Here is a 17,452-nt window from a genome sequence, read left to right on the forward strand (position 1 = left end):
AGCGTCCTCGGTGGGAGGAGGAACCCCTGTAGGGGAAAAGAGAGGCTCTGCGTTAAGGGAACCCGAGTGAGGGGATGCCCCCACTGACGGACCGCGGTGGGGACTTCCAACCTGAGGAGCCCGGGGGGAGGGGAAGGTTCGGTGCTGGGAAGACAGGGGGAGGGGACCCGGGGGGAGGAGGGAGGATTGGTGCTGAGGGGACGGGGGGAGGGGAAGCCTGTGCAGAGGGGACGGGGGGAGGGGGAAATGAAGCTCGGTGCCCAGGGACCCGGGCAGGGGGAGGGTCCGCGCAGAAGGGAACAGGGACGAAGGAGGAGGATCCACCCTGAGCGAGACCGGGGAGGAGAGGGAGGGTCCGCGCCAACGGGGAACGGGGTGAAGGGCCACCCTAAGGGGCCGCGGGGCCGCTGCGGCTTCCCAGGGCGAGGGTCGGCAGAGAGGAGGGGGATCCCTGGCGGAGGCTCAGGAAGCCGGTTCCTGCCTGGCCCGGGCGTCGCAGGCCCCTCACCCACCGTTGCGCGGCGGCGGAGGGAGCGCGGCGGGAGGCTCCAGGAACCCCGCCGAGCCCCCGCCGCCTCCCCCTCCGCTAGGCGGCGGTTCGTCCCGCTCCATGCGGTGGTGCCTAGGGTCCGCGCCGGGTTTGTTGCTCCGCCATGACCGGCGCCCTAGTCGCCGTGGTCGTCGTCCGCCGAGGGGAGGAGGTTGTCAGGAGCCCGCGAGCTCCCGGCCGCGGCTCTCTCTGGGCCCCGAGCCGCCCGGCTCCGCGCCGCTCCGCGCCCCTCCGCGCCGCGCCCCCTCAGCACTGGCCAGCTCCCTCCCCTGACGTCACACGCCGCTGCCGCGCAAGGCCCTGCGGGGCACGCTGGAAGTTGGAGTCCGCTCAGCGAGGCCGGCCACGCCGACCGCACCAACTGAAGGGGTGGAAGGAGGGATAAGAAGTCCTGAGAAGGGAAAGCTAAAGTCTGTCAATATCAAGAACCATGACAAAGCGTTTGATGTCTATGTAGTAAGCGGATACTTCCGGGCCTTGTCTTGATTGTGATTTCTACCTGATCAAAGTTCCCTAAGAGTCCTCGTAACCCCCCACCCCAACAATGAGTCTTTGCGAGGAGGTGGATCGCGAGGCAGCCGGGTGAGCACGTGCAACGAAGCCCAGCCCTGTGGGCGGGGCCCTGGAGGCGGGGCTTGAAGGTACTCACGTGGGCCTCTCCCTGCCGCTGCGGGACAAATTGGACCGGAGATTAAAGGACCGGAGTTTAACTCGAGGTGACTGCGTTCGTATGCAAATGGAATATATAAAACTCTTCTTTCCGGGGTAGTCTTTAAAGACTTTTTACCTCCGGGTGGGCGGCAAAGACTAAAGTTTCCCCTCCTCCCCTTTCATTTTCCCCCTGCCCATAGAACAGATGGGCAAACTAAGCTCCGGGCCATTGGGGCTATTAAAGAAAGCCCTAGGCTCTTGACCCCAGGTGTCTTGAAACCTTCCGTTTAAGAGGGATCCCTTGCCCAGCCTTGTTTGCCTTCCCCTTTCCTCAGTTTCCCTATCTGTAAAAGGGGGTTGGAATAAGGACAGGATCAAGTTGGAAGATCGCAAACCCCTGCCCCTCCCACCTCAGTTTCCCGAAGCTTTCCGGAAGCAAAATCCCGAATTTTGCAGCGGCTCCCGGCCGAATCCACCCGCTGCGGCCACCAGGTGGCGCGCGGCCACCGGTCACTAGGCCCGCCGGGGTGTCCGTCTTCGGCGACCCCATCGGGAAAGGATTTCGCTGCTGCCGCCAAGGGTCTAAGGCCTACCTGGCCCACTTGAAGACAAAGAACGAGAACGTTGGTGCTTTGCCCACTTCTGCTCTGCCGGATTATGCTGCAGCTTCCTCGGTGGCCGCTCATTCGCCCTCTCCTGCCCCACCCGCCCCACCAATCCCTTAGCCCTTTTATTTTTTTTTTGCCTAATTTTAAGTCCTCGTCCTGGCATTCGCATCCCTGCTTGGCCTGACCCTTGCCCACATTTCGCACCATACCCCGTCCCTCACCTGCTACGAAAGTTGCAACGCTTCTCTGCACTTGGGGGCAACTGGACCTTACCAACCCTGGTGAAACTGTATTTCATACGTAATCTGGGAGACTTACATTAACGCTCTGCCGTCTAAACCTCATACCTGCTCTATGAGATAGCAACAATATTGTCCCTTTCCAGCACTGATGAAGTCCACCAGAAGTGATGGGGATTCCAGCTCCATTCTGTCACACACCAGAACCTTAATCCTTGGCTCCTTCAAGCTGGAACGCGGCTGACTTCACCTGACCCACTCCCAAACTCCTATTCATCTTTCAAGATCCTGTTCAAATGTTTCTTCAGTGGCATCTTCCTTAATACCTTCCACCGAGGGACAACTAGATCCCCTCTGCTAGGTAGCAGTGTTTCAGGAGCTAAACCCTGTGACTAAGAGAGGACGGCCTGCCATTCCCTCAGCTGTGGGTTCTAAAATACTTTAGGACCTTGCTGGGCGCCGTGGTTCATGCCTGTAATCCCCACACTTTGGGAGACTGAGGCGGGCGGATCACCTGAAGTCAGGAGTTCGAGACCAGCCTGACCAATATGGAGAAAACCCGTCTCTACTAAAAATACAAAATTAGCCAGGCGTGGTGGCGCATGCCAGTAATCCCAGCTACTCAGGAGGCTGGGGCAGGAGAATCGTTTGAACCCAGGAGGCGGAGACTGCGGTAAGCCGAGATGGCGCAATTGCACTCCAGCCTGGGCAACAAGAGCAAAACTCCGTCTCAAAAAAAAAAAGAAAGAAAAAAAAAGTCAGGACCATCTGGCCTTTCTCAGGAATCTACCTTTTTGTCACAGGTTCTGGTGGTAGTGAGTTCTCTGTCCCTGGAGATGCCATCAGAGCCTAAGTGGCACTGCAGAAACGTGCAGCCCTGGAGTTTTGGTAGTTGATGAAGATTCTAAGTCAACCCTCTTTAGATGGGCAGAAGAGTTCAGCCAAATGCTCAGCCCCTGGAAACAACTCCTCCAGTCCTTCAGACTACAGCTCTGTTGTCCCTTCCTTCCATAAACCTTCCCACACCTCCCTGACTAGTCACATCCCTTTATTCTCACTCATAACCCCAACTGCTGAGTACAGATCTGGCACATAGTAGGCTCTCAATAATTGCTGACTGGGTGAAAGAATGGATAAAAACAGCTAACCTTAGGTGAGTGACTTCTGAGCCTCTATTTCCTGTCTTCTAAGGGGATGGGTAATAATGATAGTTGCTACCTAGCAGGAATGCTATGAGAATTAAACGATGCTTGCAAAGCAATTAAAGGTCTGGCCTAATAAATGGAACCTCTTACTAATGTTATTTAAAGAGTGGTTCTAAATCTCAGATGCATGTCTTCTGAAAGTGCTTCTGGGAGGAGTCAAATACCACAAGACTGAGAAAAACAAGGGAAATGACTGTGCTAGAGACCCCAGCCACTGTCCTAAGCATTGACAGCCCAATGAACTAAGCACTCACTATGAGTCCAGCACCTACTATGGGGCCTTTTATCTAATCTCTCTACATTTCTTCCAACAATCCTAAGAAATCAATACTTTCTCCCCCAGTTTAGAAATGTGGGGACAGGTTCAGAAAGATGAAAAAGACTCTGCTACCACCTGCAGGACTCAAAAGATCTGGAAAGGAATGTGTCTAAGGGTAAGGAGGGATCTTAGGGGGCTGTGGTTCTGAGGCCAGAGGCAGCAGACAGACGGGACCAGACTGGGATACAGCTAAGAACAAGGCAGGCATGGCCGGACATGGTGGCTCACACCTGTAATCCTAGCACTTTGGGAGGCCGAGGCGGGTCAGATTGACTGATCTCAATCGGGAGGGATGACTAGAAGTGAGACTAGGTGGAGAGGAAGGCTTTCAGGTGGAAGGAACAGCATGTGCCAAGGTCCCAAGGCCAGCCAGATCACGGCTTGGCCCATTTGAGGAGCTGGGAGAATCTGTGGTGACCAGAGCCCACTGAGAGAGAGAAGGGTAAAGAGGAGGCAGCCAGAGATTATCAGGTCATGTGGGGGAACAGCCAGCAGGGGGCAGAGTTCCTCTAGTGACGGCAGCCTTGCTCTTCCTTGTCCTGCCTAGAGTCAGAGCAAGGCCGCAGTTCATCAAGAAAGGGCTTGGGGAGGGAATCCCCCCTGCCGGCTTCGATTTCTTTTAAGTACGCTCTGTCCCGTTTTTGAATACATAGGACACACACATTACAAAACCCACAGGATGCAATGAAAGTTCTTACTCCCTGGATCTCCTTAGAACCACCGTGCTGACTTTTTGCATTGTTTTTCAGATAGTCTATGTCCATAAGAACATACACGATATTTACTTTTTACACTAATCTAGCCCCGGTTTTGATGCCTCCCAGGGGATCTCTAGTTATAGAAGAAGCTTATTTGTGGATGGGCACAGTGGCTCATGCCTGTAATCCCAGCACTTTGGGAGGCCGAGGTGGGCGGGTCACGAGGTCAGGAGTTTGAGACCAGCTTGGCCAACATAGTGAAACCCTGTCTCTACTAAAAATACAAAAAATTAGCTGGGCGTGGCGGCAGGCACCTGTAATCCCAGCTACTTGGGAGGCTGAGGCAGGAGAATTGCTTGAAGCCGGGAGGCGGACATTGCAGTGAGCCGAGATTGCGCCACTGCACTCCAGCCCGGGCGACAGTGCAAGACTCTGTCTCAAGAAAAAAAAAAAAAAAAAGAAGCAGCAGCAGCTTATTTGTACTCAGTGTGTGCTTTGCACAGGGTTCTTTAATTCAGCTGAGAGTTGTAGAGCACCGTACCTTGTGCCAGGTCAGTGGTTCTCAAACCCTAAGCCCCCTGGAGCCCTGGAGGGTGTGTTAAAACACAGATTGCTGGACTCCATGCCCAGAGTTTCTGATTTTGTGAGTCTGTAGTGGGGCCTAAGAATTTGCATTTCTTTTTCTTTTTTTTTTCTTTGAGAAGGTCTCGCTCTGTCACCCAGGCTGGAGTACAGTGTCACGATCTTGGCTCACTACAGCCTCTGCCTCCTGGGTTCAAGTGATTTTTGTGCCTCAGCCTCCCAAGTAGCTGGGACTACAGGCATGTGCCACCACGCCCAGCTAAGTTTTGTTTTTTGGGTTTGTTTGTTTGTTTTTGAGACAGAGTGTCACTCTTGCCCAGGCTGGAGTGCAGTGGTGCCATCTCGGCTCACTGCAACCTCTGCCTCCCGGGTTCACAAGCGATTCTCCTGCCCCAGCCTCCCGAGTAGCTGGGATTATAGGCATGCACCACCACATCAGCCTAATTTTTGTATTTTTAGTAGAGGCGAGTTTTCACCATGTTGCCCAGGCTGGGAGAGTTTGCATTTTTAACAAGTTATCCGATGATGCGGAGGCTGAGACCAAGGACCACACTTTGAGAACCACTGAGTTCAATGTTCATGGGGAGAAACTAAGAATGTGCCCTAGGAAGTCATGCTCCAACACAAGGAAACAAACACACCAACAAGAAAGACAGTCCCATTGAGCAATAAATTCTATGAAGAAAATGAGACCAAGCATGGTGGCTCACACTTGTAATCCCAACACTTTGAGAGACTAGGGTGGCTGGATTGCTTGAGCCCGGGAGTTTGAGAGCCTGGGCAACACAGAAGACCCCATCCCTAAAATAAATACAGAAATTAGCCAGCATGGTGGCACATGCCTGTAGTCCAAGTTATTCAGAAGGCTGAGGGAGGAGGATAGCTTGAGCTGGAAAGTTGACGATACAGTGAGCTGTATTCGCAACACAGCACTCCAGCCTGGGTGACAAAGGAAGACCCAGTCAAAAAAAAAAAAGGAAATGCTGGGTGCAGTGGCTCATGCCTGTAATCTCAACACTTTCGGAGGCCAAGGTGGGAGGATTGCTTGAGCCCAGAAGTTCAAGACCAGTCTAGGCAACAGAGTGAGACCCCGTCTCTGCAAAAAAAAAAAAAACTTTAAATTAGCCAGGTGTAGTGGTGCACACCTGTAGTTTCAGCTACTCAGGAGGCTGAGGTGGGAGGATCACTTGAGCTGGGAAGGTCAAGGCTGTAGTGAGCTGGGATCGCACCACTGCACTACGGCCTGGGCAACAGAGTGAGAAAAATAAAAATTTAAAAGCCGGAAGCTACTGGAGTTTGGGAGCCGACAGGAGGGATTCCAGAGGGAAGGAGAAATGAAAGACGGAAGACAGGTTGGGGTTGCTGAGCCTTGGGAAGGCTTACAGCAGTCAGGTCCCTGTCCAGAAGTGGGTGAAATCGGAGAGCGCAAGGGCTCACGTGCCCTGGGAACATCCGTCTCTCATGCGAACTTTACAAACACTCCAAAAGGAAAGCACGAGTCCCCCATCTTACAGATGAGGAAACTGAGGCACACAGGTGAAGGGACACGCCCAAGGTCCCACGACTCACAGGACAGGACCTGAGTCCGTGAGAGGAGCCCACGCGCCTCGCCCTGGCCCCGTTGCTCCTGCCGGCTGCGATCGAGACCCACCCTGGCGCGCGGGCAGGGATGCCCTTGGGAGAGCCGCCCGACGACGGGGAGGCCCCGCGAACGGCGGGCGGGGCGGGGCGGGGTGCCCCCTCCGCCCTAGCTCCGCCCCTGGCGGCGCTGGAAGACCCGCGGGGCTGGCAGCAGGGTGCAGGCGCGGGGCGCGGGGCAGGCAGAGCGGGCGAAGGCGCGGAGCTCGCAGTGCAGCCCGCGCTTCCCAGCGTCCGTGCCCGGCCGCCTGTGCCTACCGTGCCCGTGGCGCCATGGCCGCTGCCGCCCTCCCGCCCCGGCCGCTGCTCCTTCTGCCGCTAGTGCTGCTGCTGAGCGGCCGCCCCACGCGCGCCGACAGTAAGGTACGCACGCCCCTCGGACCCGCGCGGCTCGGCGGGTAGCGGGGCGCGAGGGGGCGCTGTGGCTGGGGTGCGGCCCGGGAGGGAGCCCGGGGCCAGGGCGGAGGAGCCGGGAGCTGAGAGACCGAACCTGGGACTTCTCAGCACTGAAGCCGCAGGGGCAGGGGCCCCGAGAGAGGGGCGCGTGGAGGAACAAGCGCTGGAGATGTAGGGATGCTAGGGACCCGGGGCCTGAGGAAGGGGCGCTGGGACCGGGTCCGATTCCCGGAGGGGTCGGGGGATTTCCCCGGAGTGCTGGCCAGACTCGGGGTTCGTAGGGGAAGCTCCTGGCAACTGTTACCCAACGACTCCCAGGCTTGCAGCAAGCCCTGGGCCACGGCTTTCACGGCCCGCTGGGGACTGGGGGTCTTCTCTACCCGATGAACGCAGCCGCGCTGGCCACTCGCCTGGCCTCTGATGTTCTTGCCAGGGACCGGGTGCACCCCCTGGAGGACTAGGTAGCTCCAGAAGTGGTCTGAGCTGTTCTCTGCTGTGGCTAAGAGGATCTGCTCTGGTGTCAAGCCGACCTGGGTTCAGTCGCACATCCGCTTCTCATCCGCCATCGCCCATCTGAGCCTCCGTCTATTCACCTGTAGATACAGGGAGAATCATGGGACCCACTTCCTGCAGTTGATGGTCTCTAGATGCGGTGTGGTCATGCCTGTAAAGTACTTAGCACTAGGCCGGGCGCGGTGGCTCACGCCTGTAATCCCAGCACTTTGGGAGGCCGAGACGGGCGGATCACAAGGTCAGGAGATCGAGACCATCCTGGCTAACACGGTGAAACCCCGTCTCTACTAAAAATACAAAAAAAAGTAGCCAGGCATGGTGGTGGGCGCCTGTAGTCCCAGCTACTCCGGAAGCTGAGGTAGGAGAATGGCGTGAACCCGGGAGGCGGAGCTTGCAGTGAGCCGAGATCGCGCCACTGCACTCCAGCCTGGGCGACAGAGCGAGACTCCGTGTCAAAAAAAAAAAGAAAAAAAAAAAATACTTAGCACCAGAGCACTTGGGGTGTTCTGGAAATGACTCCCTGATGGCCAGGTTCAGTGGCTCACACCTGTAATCCTAGCACTTTGGGAGGCCAAGGCAGGTGGATCGCTTGAGGCCAGGAGTTCAGGACCAGCCTGGCCAATATGGTGAAACCCCATCTCTACTAAAAATACAAAAATTAGCTGGGCGCAGTGGCACAAGACCAGTCTAGGCAACAGAGTGAGACCCCGTCTCTATAAAAAAAAAAAAAATTAAATTAAATTAGCCAGGTGTGGTGGTGCACACCTGTAATCCCAGCTACTCGGGAGGCTGAAGCAGGAGAATCGCTTGAACCCAGCAGGCGGAGGTTGCAGTCAGTGGAGATTGCGCCAGTGCACTCCAACCTGGGGAACAGAGCAAGATTGTGTCTTAAAACAAAACAAAACAAACAAAAAAAAAAACGGACAGACCTTGGGGAGAGTGAGGAGCAGGACCAGAGCCCTGGTCACAGAGCGTGAGGGCAAAAAAGTGACTTCCAATACCTCTCCAGCCTCTTTCCTGGTAGAATGTGAGTGTCCTGCCTGCCCACGGACAGATAAAAGACAGAAGCCACTAGCCACACGGTGAGTATATGAGCAGTGGGCACTGGCCAACTCTCAGCCTGATTCAGCTCAGGGCATGAAAGCACCCACGTACAACGCTGCTCATGTACTCCAGAGACAAGGAGGGAATGAGTATTTTTTCTAATTTACAGGTGGGGAAACTAGGGTGTTTACAGAGGCAGCTGGCTTGTACATTTAAAACCCTAGGTTCTGGCCTTCCTCTGCTATTCTTCTGCTGTGTGACCTTGGGCAAATCACTGCCTGTCTCTGGGCTTCAGTTTCTTCATCTAAGAAACATCTCCCCAACCTTCCTTCCATATGGGGCCCTCTGGGATTCCCTGATCTGGCTCAGGTATGATGACAAGTGAGTAGAAAATCCTAGGTAACCTGATCAGTGCCTTGTCACCACTGGGATCTCTGGCTGGGAGGGATATTTGGTGTTGGGCATCGTCTGTGCAGAGAGCTGTAGAGCTTGTGGGGGAGAGCTCACATTCTAAACAAAGCAGAGACAAAGAAAACCCAACACCCTGTTTGTGTAGTGAGTCAGCCAAACACTTGCTAGGTTGTGTGTGTGTGTGGTGGGGGGGGGGTGTTTAGCTGTCCCAGGACAAGCTGGGGCTGGTGGGGTGGAGAGGCACAACCTAGAGCTTGCAGGATGAACAGCTGGGGGACTCAGCACAGCCCTCCCCCAGACACCTCCCACCCCCAAACCACTTCAGCCAGCTGGGAAAAATAAAAATCAAGTGATGGGTGAATTTACTCTGCATTCCTTAGCTGAGCCAGACTCCTGCTGGCTCTGCAGAGAGAGCTGTTTTCATTATCACTCGCTCCTTCCCCCATCACAACCCCGCCTTCCTCTCCAAGCCCATTCCGTTTTCCCTGGGGTGGAGGATGAGCCCTTCGGAGGGCCAGCCTGGGACTTGAAGTCAATGTAGGGCCCTAAAGGGTTAAGTTGGCCCCTCCTTGGGCTTCCTGTTCCTGGGAGCTCTAGTCTGCCCTCTGGCCCAGCACATTCAGGGGTCCAGGGCAGCTCACCCCAGGACTCTGTTGGTCTCCTTGGCCAGCTCCTTGCTCAACGTGTTTTCATTTCATGTTTATAACTAGGTCTCTCCTAAACTGGATTTTGAGTTTCCATCTAAGGAAGTGCTTTGTCGGGGCTGGGAGGAGGAGGGGGACCCCACAGCTTCCCTGGTATTTCTGAAGGGCTGCCCAGCACAGAGGTTGGAATGGACAGGTAACCACATGACACCCAGGCATAGCACCGCAGACCTCTGGGGAGCTGCTTCTTGCTGTGGGTTCTTGGAATGTGACTGAGAATTTTCCATCTCTACCTCAGTTTCCCCATCTGTGAAAGGGCTGCCGGTGCCTCACTCCCTCCAGCATCAAGGGGTGGGGAGGGGGTCTTTGGTCAGCCTGCTGATCAGGGGCCCAAGGACAGAGGGAAGCCCAAAGGACTGTGGGAGCCCAGCCAGGGGAGCAGGAGGGGCTAGAGCAGGCAGGCGGTGGTGTCCGGGGCTGGATCAGATGTTCCAGGCCAGGCTAGTCCCGGGGGTTTAGGTGTTGCTTCGCCTCCGCTCCGGGAGTTTCCGCCTGTGGGTGTAATTGGAAACAGGCTCTCCGGCAGGCGAGGGCCACATAGTGATGGAGTCCTCCTTCGACACATCAAGACTGTGAGGCCAGGCCAAGCCCTACTGGGTGTCTCTGCAAGGAGGGTCTTATCCCAACACTCCCTTTGGCTGGGGCATCTGGGGCAGAGCCTTGAGGAGCATCGTGTGTGCCAAGCCATGTCCCCAGCACTTACATGCAGAATCTTACACATCCCTTGTGCCAACACTCTGAGGCTTCAGCGGCCCTTCCCCATTTTATGGTCTTGAACACTGAGGCTCAAAAGAGTCTGATTGAGGTTGTTCAAAACTCCTAAACAGAGGGAGCCTGAGTAGTTGGAGCCTTGGAGCCTCTAGGAAGCATCCAGATAGGCTGGGGAGCCGGAAAGCGTCTGAACCATCGGGTTAGAGCAGGACCCAGGCATCTGCAGCTCCCAGGTGCACCCCCAGGCAATTCTGAGGCATGGCCCCCAGTTGGGAACTCATGGAGGGAGTAGGGATCCATGGAGGTTTGTGGAGCAAGAGTAAAATAGATTACCAAGGAGGAGCTTTTGGGAGATTCATCAAACACAGGAAGCTGCTGTGTTGTCCAGGTAGCAGTTAATATGGCCCGAACTAGGGCTATGGCTGTGGAGTGGAGAGCAGGGGACAGAGGTCAGAGATATTTAGGATGAAGGGTCAGAAGAACACGATGACTGACAGATTATCCAGGGTAAGAAGGAGGCTCAGAGATCCAGGCTGGGCAGGAGGGTAGGTGGACATGGGTCTGGGAGAAGAGGCTGGGTCCAGTCTTGGAATGGATTGAGTTTGGGGTACCTCTGGGCAGCCAGGGGGAGGTGCCCAACTGGCTACTGTGCTCTTGGGGAGGTCTTTGCCTCATGGTGAGGCGGGGCTGGCCATGAGGAAAAAGGGCAGACCCAACTTCAAGATGACACAAGTTGGGCGGGCGTGGTGGCTCACACCTGTAATCCCAGCACTTTGGGAGCCCAAGGTGGGCAGATCACCTGAGGTCAGGAGTTCGAGACCAGCCTGGCCAACATAGTGAAATGCCATCTCTACTAAAAATACAAAAATTAGCCGAGCATGGTGGCACACACCTGTAATCCTGGATACTCAGGAGGCTGAAGCAAGAGAATCACTTGAACCTGGGAGGCAGAGGTTGCAGTGAGCCAAGATCGCGCCATTGCACTCCAGCCCGGGCAACAGAGCAAGAATCCGGCCAAAAAAAAAAAAAAAGACACAAGTTGAGTCTATTCAGTTGCTGGAACATTTCACAGCTTGAATGCCCTCTCCTCCACTCTAGCTAGACTCATCCATCTCTCTGCAGAAAAATCTCAAATACACCTTCATCTCACTGTGGAATTTCCTTGCAAATACCTGAGTACCTTTTTAAGCACAAACCACTCCTAGTTCTGGGGGCTTTGGCATCTGTGTGTGCTGAGCAAGGCTGCAGGGAGAGATGCAGGGCCAAGGCAGGGACTTTCCTGCTTGGCACAACTCCAGACTTCATGCCAAGGGCAGGGTGGGCTGGGCCTAGTAGGAGCCTCAGGTTCTATGCCCCCCAGGGCCCCCTCTCTACAGACCCATCTGTCCCAGCCCAATTGCTCAGGGAGAAGCCCCTGCCTGGTGACTGTGGGTGGCCATGAGAGGGGCAACATGTAAACCAAGTTTTGGAGTCAGGCCATGCTGTGTGACCCTGGGCAAGCCCCTAGTCTTCTCTGATGCTCAGCTTTCTCCTCTCTAAGGTGGGGTTATGGTGAGAACACAGAGAGGTAGAAAATTGTGAGCAAATGGCAGGAAGAGTTATCAGCAGTGATTCTGATAGCAGGTACCCCTTAGAGAGCAGCTCTTCTGTGCCAGGTGCCATGCCGAGGCCCTGCATGCGTTGATTGTTCAGACTCACCATGAGCTTATGACAAAGGGACTGTGATTCTTCCCATTTTACAGAGGAGGAAGCTGAGGCTCAGAGGGGTCAAGGCCAAGCAGGGAGGAGGTATGGGAACTGGGACTTAAGCCCAGGTCTGGCTCTTCCCCCTGGCGCTCTGCTGCCCTCCAGCCAAGCATAGGATGTAGCAGTCACAGGAAGGGGGACCCTGCCTGGGTGCCTGGCAGCTGGCACTGGGAGCAGAGGCCTTATTCCAATTCCTGGCCCAGGTCAGGGCCTTGGCCGCCCCCATCAGGAGGTAGCACCTCATCTGAGGAGGGAAGGAATGTCACGGTCCGATGTGGAGGCAGCTGCTGGTGCGGGTGGGTGTTGGGAGTATGGGTGAGTCCCCAGGAGGAGGCTTCCCTGGCCTGGCCACACAGAACACACCCACATCTACCCGCTAGGCTCTTGACCCCATCTGGGGGAGTGGGTGGAGTGGCAAGAGATTCCAGCAGAGCTGGGAAGGGGACCCAGGAGTCTTGAAGGACAGGCAGAGTTAGGGCGCTAACTCTGAGGAATGTACAGGACCCTGAGCCTGACTGTTGGTGTTCACAGGCAGAGAAGAATTGGCCCAGAGTTACACTTCACCCACCGAGAGGCCAGGACACACCCATAGCTAGCCACCCTCCTCCCCACGCTCCCTGCCTCTTACTTTCCCCTGCCCCTCCGCAGGCTGCAGAAAAAGCAGTGGGGGCAGGCATGGTAGCTCACGCCTGTAATCCCAGCTTTTTGGGCGGCCAAGGTGGGAGGATCACTTGAGCCCAGGAGTTTGAGACCAGCCTGGCCAACATGGTGAAACCCCATCTCTACAAAAAATACAAAAATTAGCCGGACATGGTGGCACATGCCTGTAGTCCCAGTTACTTGGGAGGCTGAGGTGGGAGGATCGCCTGATCCCAGGAGGTCAAGGTGTGATAAGGCCACTCCACTCCAGCCTGGGTAACAGAGCAAGACCCTGTCTCAAAATAATATTAATGATAATAATAAGAAGAATACTTCACACTTAAGATGCACTCAATATGTGCTAGGCCCTGTTCTTTACTTGTTTTAACTCACTTAATCCTCACAACCACCTCATGATGTGAAAGCCCATGTTACAGATGAAACAGAGGCACAGAAATATTAAGTTGCCTACAGTCTCACTGAGGCTCCAGATGCCATGCTCTTAACCTTGTGCTCTAGCATGTCTACAAAATGCAGGCTCATTTACCCAACAGATATTTACAGAGCTCCTACTGCAGGCCAGGCAAGCACTGTTATGAAGACATAGCAGGAAACTAGACAAAGGCCCTGCCTCTAATGGTACCTATGGTGTGGGGGAGACAGAATATACACAAACTCAGATCTCATATTTCAGGTACTAATAGGTGCAGTAAAGAAAACCAAGTCACTAGATGAAGGGATAGAGAGTAACAGGAGGTGAGCAGTCAGGGAAGGCTTCTCAGAGGAGGTAACATGTGAGCAGAGAACTAAGTGATACAAGGAAGTAAGCCAGGGAAAGATTGGGGGATAGGAGTTTCTGGGGAGGGTATGGCATATGCAAAAGCCCTGAGGCTGCAGTGGAGAGAGCCATTGAAAGGGAAGGGCAATAAGGAGCGGTTCAAGGGAGAGTATCAACTCACATGGGCCTTGAAGGCCACGGTAAGGGCTTTGAAGGTCACAACACCTCCCCAACACACAGAGGTAGTTTTTTTCTTTTTTTTTTTTTCTTTTTTGTCTGAGACAGACAGAGTCTTGCTCTCTTGTCCAGGCTGGAGTGAAGTGGCACGATCTTGGCTCACTGCAATCTCCGCCTCCCGGGTTCAAGCGATTCTCCTGCCTCAGCCTCCCGAGTAGCTGAGATTACAGATGCCCACCACCACACCCGGCTAATTTCTGTATTTTTAGTAGAGACAGGGTTTCACCATGTTGGCCAGGCTGGCCTCGAACTCTTGACCTCATGATCCACCCGCCTCGGCCTCCCAAAGTGCTGGGATTACAGGCATGAGCCACTGTGCCCGGCCAGAGATATTATTTAAAAGTGTAATGCATGTGAAACCTGGTATATAAGTGATCAATAAAAGGTCTCCATAATTTTTATTATCATAGTAAAACAAAATAACAAAAATTATCATTTTTAAGTATACACTTCAGTGGCATTTGGTACATTCACAATATTGTGCAAGCATCACCACTATCTATTAATAGTTCCAGAACATCTTTGTCATCCCAAAAGGAAACCCCATACCAATTAAGCAGCCACTCCCCATTTCCGTCTCTCTCTAACTCCTGGAAGCCACTAATCTGTTTGCTGTCTCTATGGACGTGCCTCTCCTGGATACAGCATTTCATATTAATGGAACCATATCATATGTGGCCTTTTGTGTCTGGCTTCTCTCACTTAACATAATATTTCAAGATTTATCCATGTTGTAGCATGAATCAGTACTGCATTCCTTTTACTTGTTTTTTTTTTTTTTTTTTTTTTTTTTTTGAGACGGAGTCTCACTGTGTTGCCCAGGCTGGAGTGCAGTGGCCTGATCATGGCTCACTGCAGGCTTGACCTCCCAGGCTCAAGTGATCCTCCCATCTCAGCCTCCCTAGTAGCTGGGGCTACAGGCATGTGCCACCATGCCCACCTAATTTTTGTATTTTTAATAGAGACAGGTTTTCACCATGTTGGCCGGGCTGGTCTCGAACTCCCGACCTCAGGTGATCTGCCCGCCTCAGCCTCCCAAAGTGCTGGGATTACAGGCATGAGCCACTGTGCCCAGCCCTACATTCCTTTTTATGGCTGAATATTTCTCTATTCAGTTGATGGACATTTGGGTTGTTTCTACCTTGTGGCTACTGTGAATAATGCTGCTATGGACATTCACTTCCAAGTCTTTGTTTGGATACCCATTTTCTTTCTTTTTTTTTTTTTTTTTTTTTTTTTGAGACGGAGTCTCACTCTGTCACCCAGGCTGGAGTGCAGTGGCGCGATCTCGGCTCACTGCAAGCTCTGCCTCCCGGGTTCATGCCATTCTCCTGCCTCAGCCTCCCGAGTAGCTGGGACCACAGGCGCCCGCCATCACGCCCGGCTAATTTTTTGTATTTTGTTTAGTAGAGACGGGGTTTCACCATGTTAGCCAAGATGGTCTCGATCTCCTGACCTCGTGATCTGCCTGCCTCGGCCTCCCAAAGTGCTGGGATTACAGGCATGAGCCACCGCGCCCGGCCTTTGGATACCCATTTTCAATTCTCTTGGGTATATACCCAGGAGTAGAATTACTGGATCTTATGGGAATTTTATGTTTAACTTATTGAGGAATCGCCAAACTTTTTCACAGCGCCATTAATATTTAAATTGTCGAACCAGGTGAGGTGGCACATACTGTAATCCCAGAACTTTGAGAGGCCAAGGCAGAAGGATCACTTGTGGCCAGGAGTTCAAGACCAGCCTGGGCAACATAGTGAGATCCCATCTCTACAGAAAATTTAAAAATTAGCCGAGTGTGGTCTCATGCACCTACAATCTCAGCTACTTGGGAAGCTGATACAGGAGGATTGCTTGAGTCCAGGAGTTTGAGGTTACAGTGAACTATGATCCCACCACTGCATTCCAACCTGGGCCAAACAGCAAGACCCTCTCTCTACAAACAAAACAAAACAAAACAAAAAGACTGGGCACTGTGGCTCATGCCTGTAATCCTAGCACTTTGGGAGATGGAAGAGGGAGGGTCACTTGAGCCCAGGAATTCAAGACTAGCCTGAGCAACATGGCAAAACCCCCTGTTTACAAAATATACAAAAATTAGCTGGGCATGGTGGCGCATGCCTGTAGTCCCAGCTACTAGGGAGGTTGAAGTGGGAGGATCACTTGAGCCTGGGAGGTCAAGGCTGCAGTGAGCCATGATCAGGCCACTGCACTCCAGCCTGGGCAACAGAGAGAGAGCCTGTCTTTAAAAATACACGCACGGGCCGGGCGCGGTGGCTCACACCTGTAATCCCAGCACTTTGGGAGGCCGAGGCGGGCGGATCACAAGGTTAGGAGACCAAGACCATCCTGGCTAACACAGTGAAACCCCATCTCTATTAACAAATACAAAAAATTAGCCGGGCGTGATGGCGGGCACCTGTAGTCCCAGCTACTCGGGAGGCTGAGGCAGGAGAATGGCGTGAACCCAGGAGGCGGAGCTTGCAGTGAGCCGAGATGGCGCTACTGCACTCCAGCCTGGGCGACAGAGCAAGACTCCGTCTCAAAAAAAAAAAATACACGCAGAGACGTAGACACACACACACACACACACACACACACACACACACACACACACACACAGAGTTGTTATTATTATTAAAAGGGCTTCACCACCTCTAATTGCACCCCCTCCTACCTGCCAAACACTCTCATCCCAAGGCTGGCTGGCCAGCTGGCTTCTGCCATCTCTCCCTTCCTCCCTGCCATAGCACTGCCTAGCAGCAACTCACTGGAGCCCCTCTTGCCCCCCGCAACAGGTGTTTGGGGACCTGGACCAGGTGAGGATGACCTCGGAGGGCTCCGACTGCCGTTGCAAGTGCATCATGCGGCCCCTGAGCAAGGACGCGTGTAGCCGAGTGCGCAGTGGGCGGGCACGCGTGGAGGACTTCTACACGGTGGAGACTGTGAGCTCGGGCACTGACTGCCGCTGCTCCTGTACCGCACCTCCCTCCTCTCTCAACCCCTGTGAGAACGAGTGGAAGATGGAGAAACTCAAAAAGCAGGCGCCCGAGCTCCTCAAGGTAGACTTGGTGGGGTGATGGAGGGAGTAAGGGCCTATCATGAGCTGGAGCCTGCTGTCCTGCCAGTGAAAATTCCACACACTCTGTGAGGCGAGTGGTGTTACTGCCCCATTTCACAGATGAGGAAACTGAGGCTCCCTGAGGGGAAGTCACTTCTTGCCAGGAAGTGACAAAGGCAGGATTCTTCTGCTAGTTTATCACCTATTCCAGTGTCTTATATTTTACCCAAACCAATTCATCCATTGGCACCTAGCTATACTTTACATTTTGTGGCAGTGGGTTGTTTTTATTTTATTTTATTTTATTTTATTTTATTTTATTTTATTTTATTTATTTCTTGAAACAGAGTCTCGCTCTGTCACCCAGGCTGGAGTGCAGTGGCACGATCTCGGCTTGCTGCAACCTCCGTCCCCGGGTTCAAGCGATTCTCCTGCCTCAACCTCCTGAGTGGCTGGGATTACAGACGTGCACCACCACACCTAGTTAACTTTTGTATTTTTAGTAGATACAGGGTTTCACCATGTTTCCCAGGCTGGTCTTGAACTCCTGACCTCAAGTGAACTGCCTGCCTCGGCCTCCCAAAGTGCTGGGATTAGAAGCATGAGCCACCGTGCCCGGCCTTCTCTGAGTTCTTAAACCATACTGTGAAATATAGGATCATTTCCTCATTTTAGAGGTGAGAAAACCAAGGTTGAGAGAACTTAGGTAACTTGCCCAACCT

At 53.6% G+C, this 17,452-nt stretch overlaps 2 protein-coding genes and 1 long non-coding RNA gene across 8 annotated transcripts in view, besides 6 other annotated features; 2 read left to right on the forward strand and 1 right to left on the reverse strand.

Moving 5' to 3' along the window:
• Positions 1-804, reverse strand: part of NR6A1 (nuclear receptor subfamily 6 group A member 1) — a 254,037-nt gene extending 253,233 nt beyond the window's left edge. For all 4 annotated transcript variants that reach the window (NM_001489.5, NM_001278546.2, NM_001410996.1 and 1 more), the window contains exon 1: positions 513-804. In NM_001489.5, coding sequence (NP_001480.3) covers positions 513-612 — 100 coding nt within the window. In that variant the 5' untranslated portion in view covers positions 613-804. The remainder of the gene's footprint in view (positions 1-512) is intronic.
• Positions 294-873: a silencer, noted in NCBI's record as "silent region_20265". NCBI's record gives its function as "represses an Ori minimal core promoter by ATAC-STARR-seq in GM12878 lymphoblastoid cells {active_cell/tissue: GM12878}" and the evidence as "EXISTENCE:reporter gene assay evidence [ECO:0000049][PMID:35858748]".
• Positions 294-1,203: a biological region, named in NCBI's record as "H3K27ac hESC enhancer GRCh37_chr9:127533372-127533939".
• Positions 586-1,153: an enhancer, noted in NCBI's record as "H3K27ac hESC enhancer chr9:127533372-127533939 (GRCh37/hg19 assembly coordinates)". NCBI's record gives its function as "activates a minimal SCP1, AML or CMV promoter by ChIP-STARR-seq in naive H9 embryonic stem cells {active_cell/tissue: H9 hESC(naive)}" and the evidence as "EXISTENCE:reporter gene assay evidence [ECO:0000049][PMID:30033119]".
• LOC107987126 (uncharacterized) lies at positions 850-3,330 on the forward strand. The gene is made up of 2 exons (XR_001746926.3): positions 850-1,266; positions 2,195-3,330. It is a non-coding gene; the product is annotated as an uncharacterized LOC107987126 (long non-coding RNA).
• Positions 944-1,203: an enhancer, noted in NCBI's record as "active region_28989". NCBI's record gives its function as "activates an Ori minimal core promoter by ATAC-STARR-seq in GM12878 lymphoblastoid cells {active_cell/tissue: GM12878}" and the evidence as "EXISTENCE:reporter gene assay evidence [ECO:0000049][PMID:35858748]".
• Positions 6,530-6,629: a silencer, noted in NCBI's record as "silent region_20266". NCBI's record gives its function as "represses an Ori minimal core promoter by ATAC-STARR-seq in GM12878 lymphoblastoid cells {active_cell/tissue: GM12878}" and the evidence as "EXISTENCE:reporter gene assay evidence [ECO:0000049][PMID:35858748]".
• OLFML2A (olfactomedin like 2A) overlaps positions 6,626-17,452 on the forward strand; it is a 37,750-nt gene continuing 26,923 nt past the window's right edge. For all 3 annotated transcript variants that reach the window (NM_182487.4, XM_005251760.6, XM_006716989.3), the window contains exons 1-2: positions 6,626-6,853; positions 16,468-16,731. In NM_182487.4, coding sequence (NP_872293.2) covers positions 6,764-6,853; positions 16,468-16,731 — 354 coding nt within the window. In that variant the 5' untranslated portion in view covers positions 6,626-6,763. The remainder of the gene's footprint in view (positions 6,854-16,467; positions 16,732-17,452) is intronic.
• Positions 6,700-6,999: a silencer, noted in NCBI's record as "silent region_20267". NCBI's record gives its function as "represses an Ori minimal core promoter by ATAC-STARR-seq in GM12878 lymphoblastoid cells {active_cell/tissue: GM12878}" and the evidence as "EXISTENCE:reporter gene assay evidence [ECO:0000049][PMID:35858748]".

This window comes from Homo sapiens, chromosome 9, assembly GCF_000001405.40.
Source record: "Homo sapiens chromosome 9, GRCh38.p14 Primary Assembly".
Classification (NCBI taxonomy): domain Eukaryota; kingdom Metazoa; phylum Chordata; class Mammalia; order Primates; family Hominidae; genus Homo; species Homo sapiens.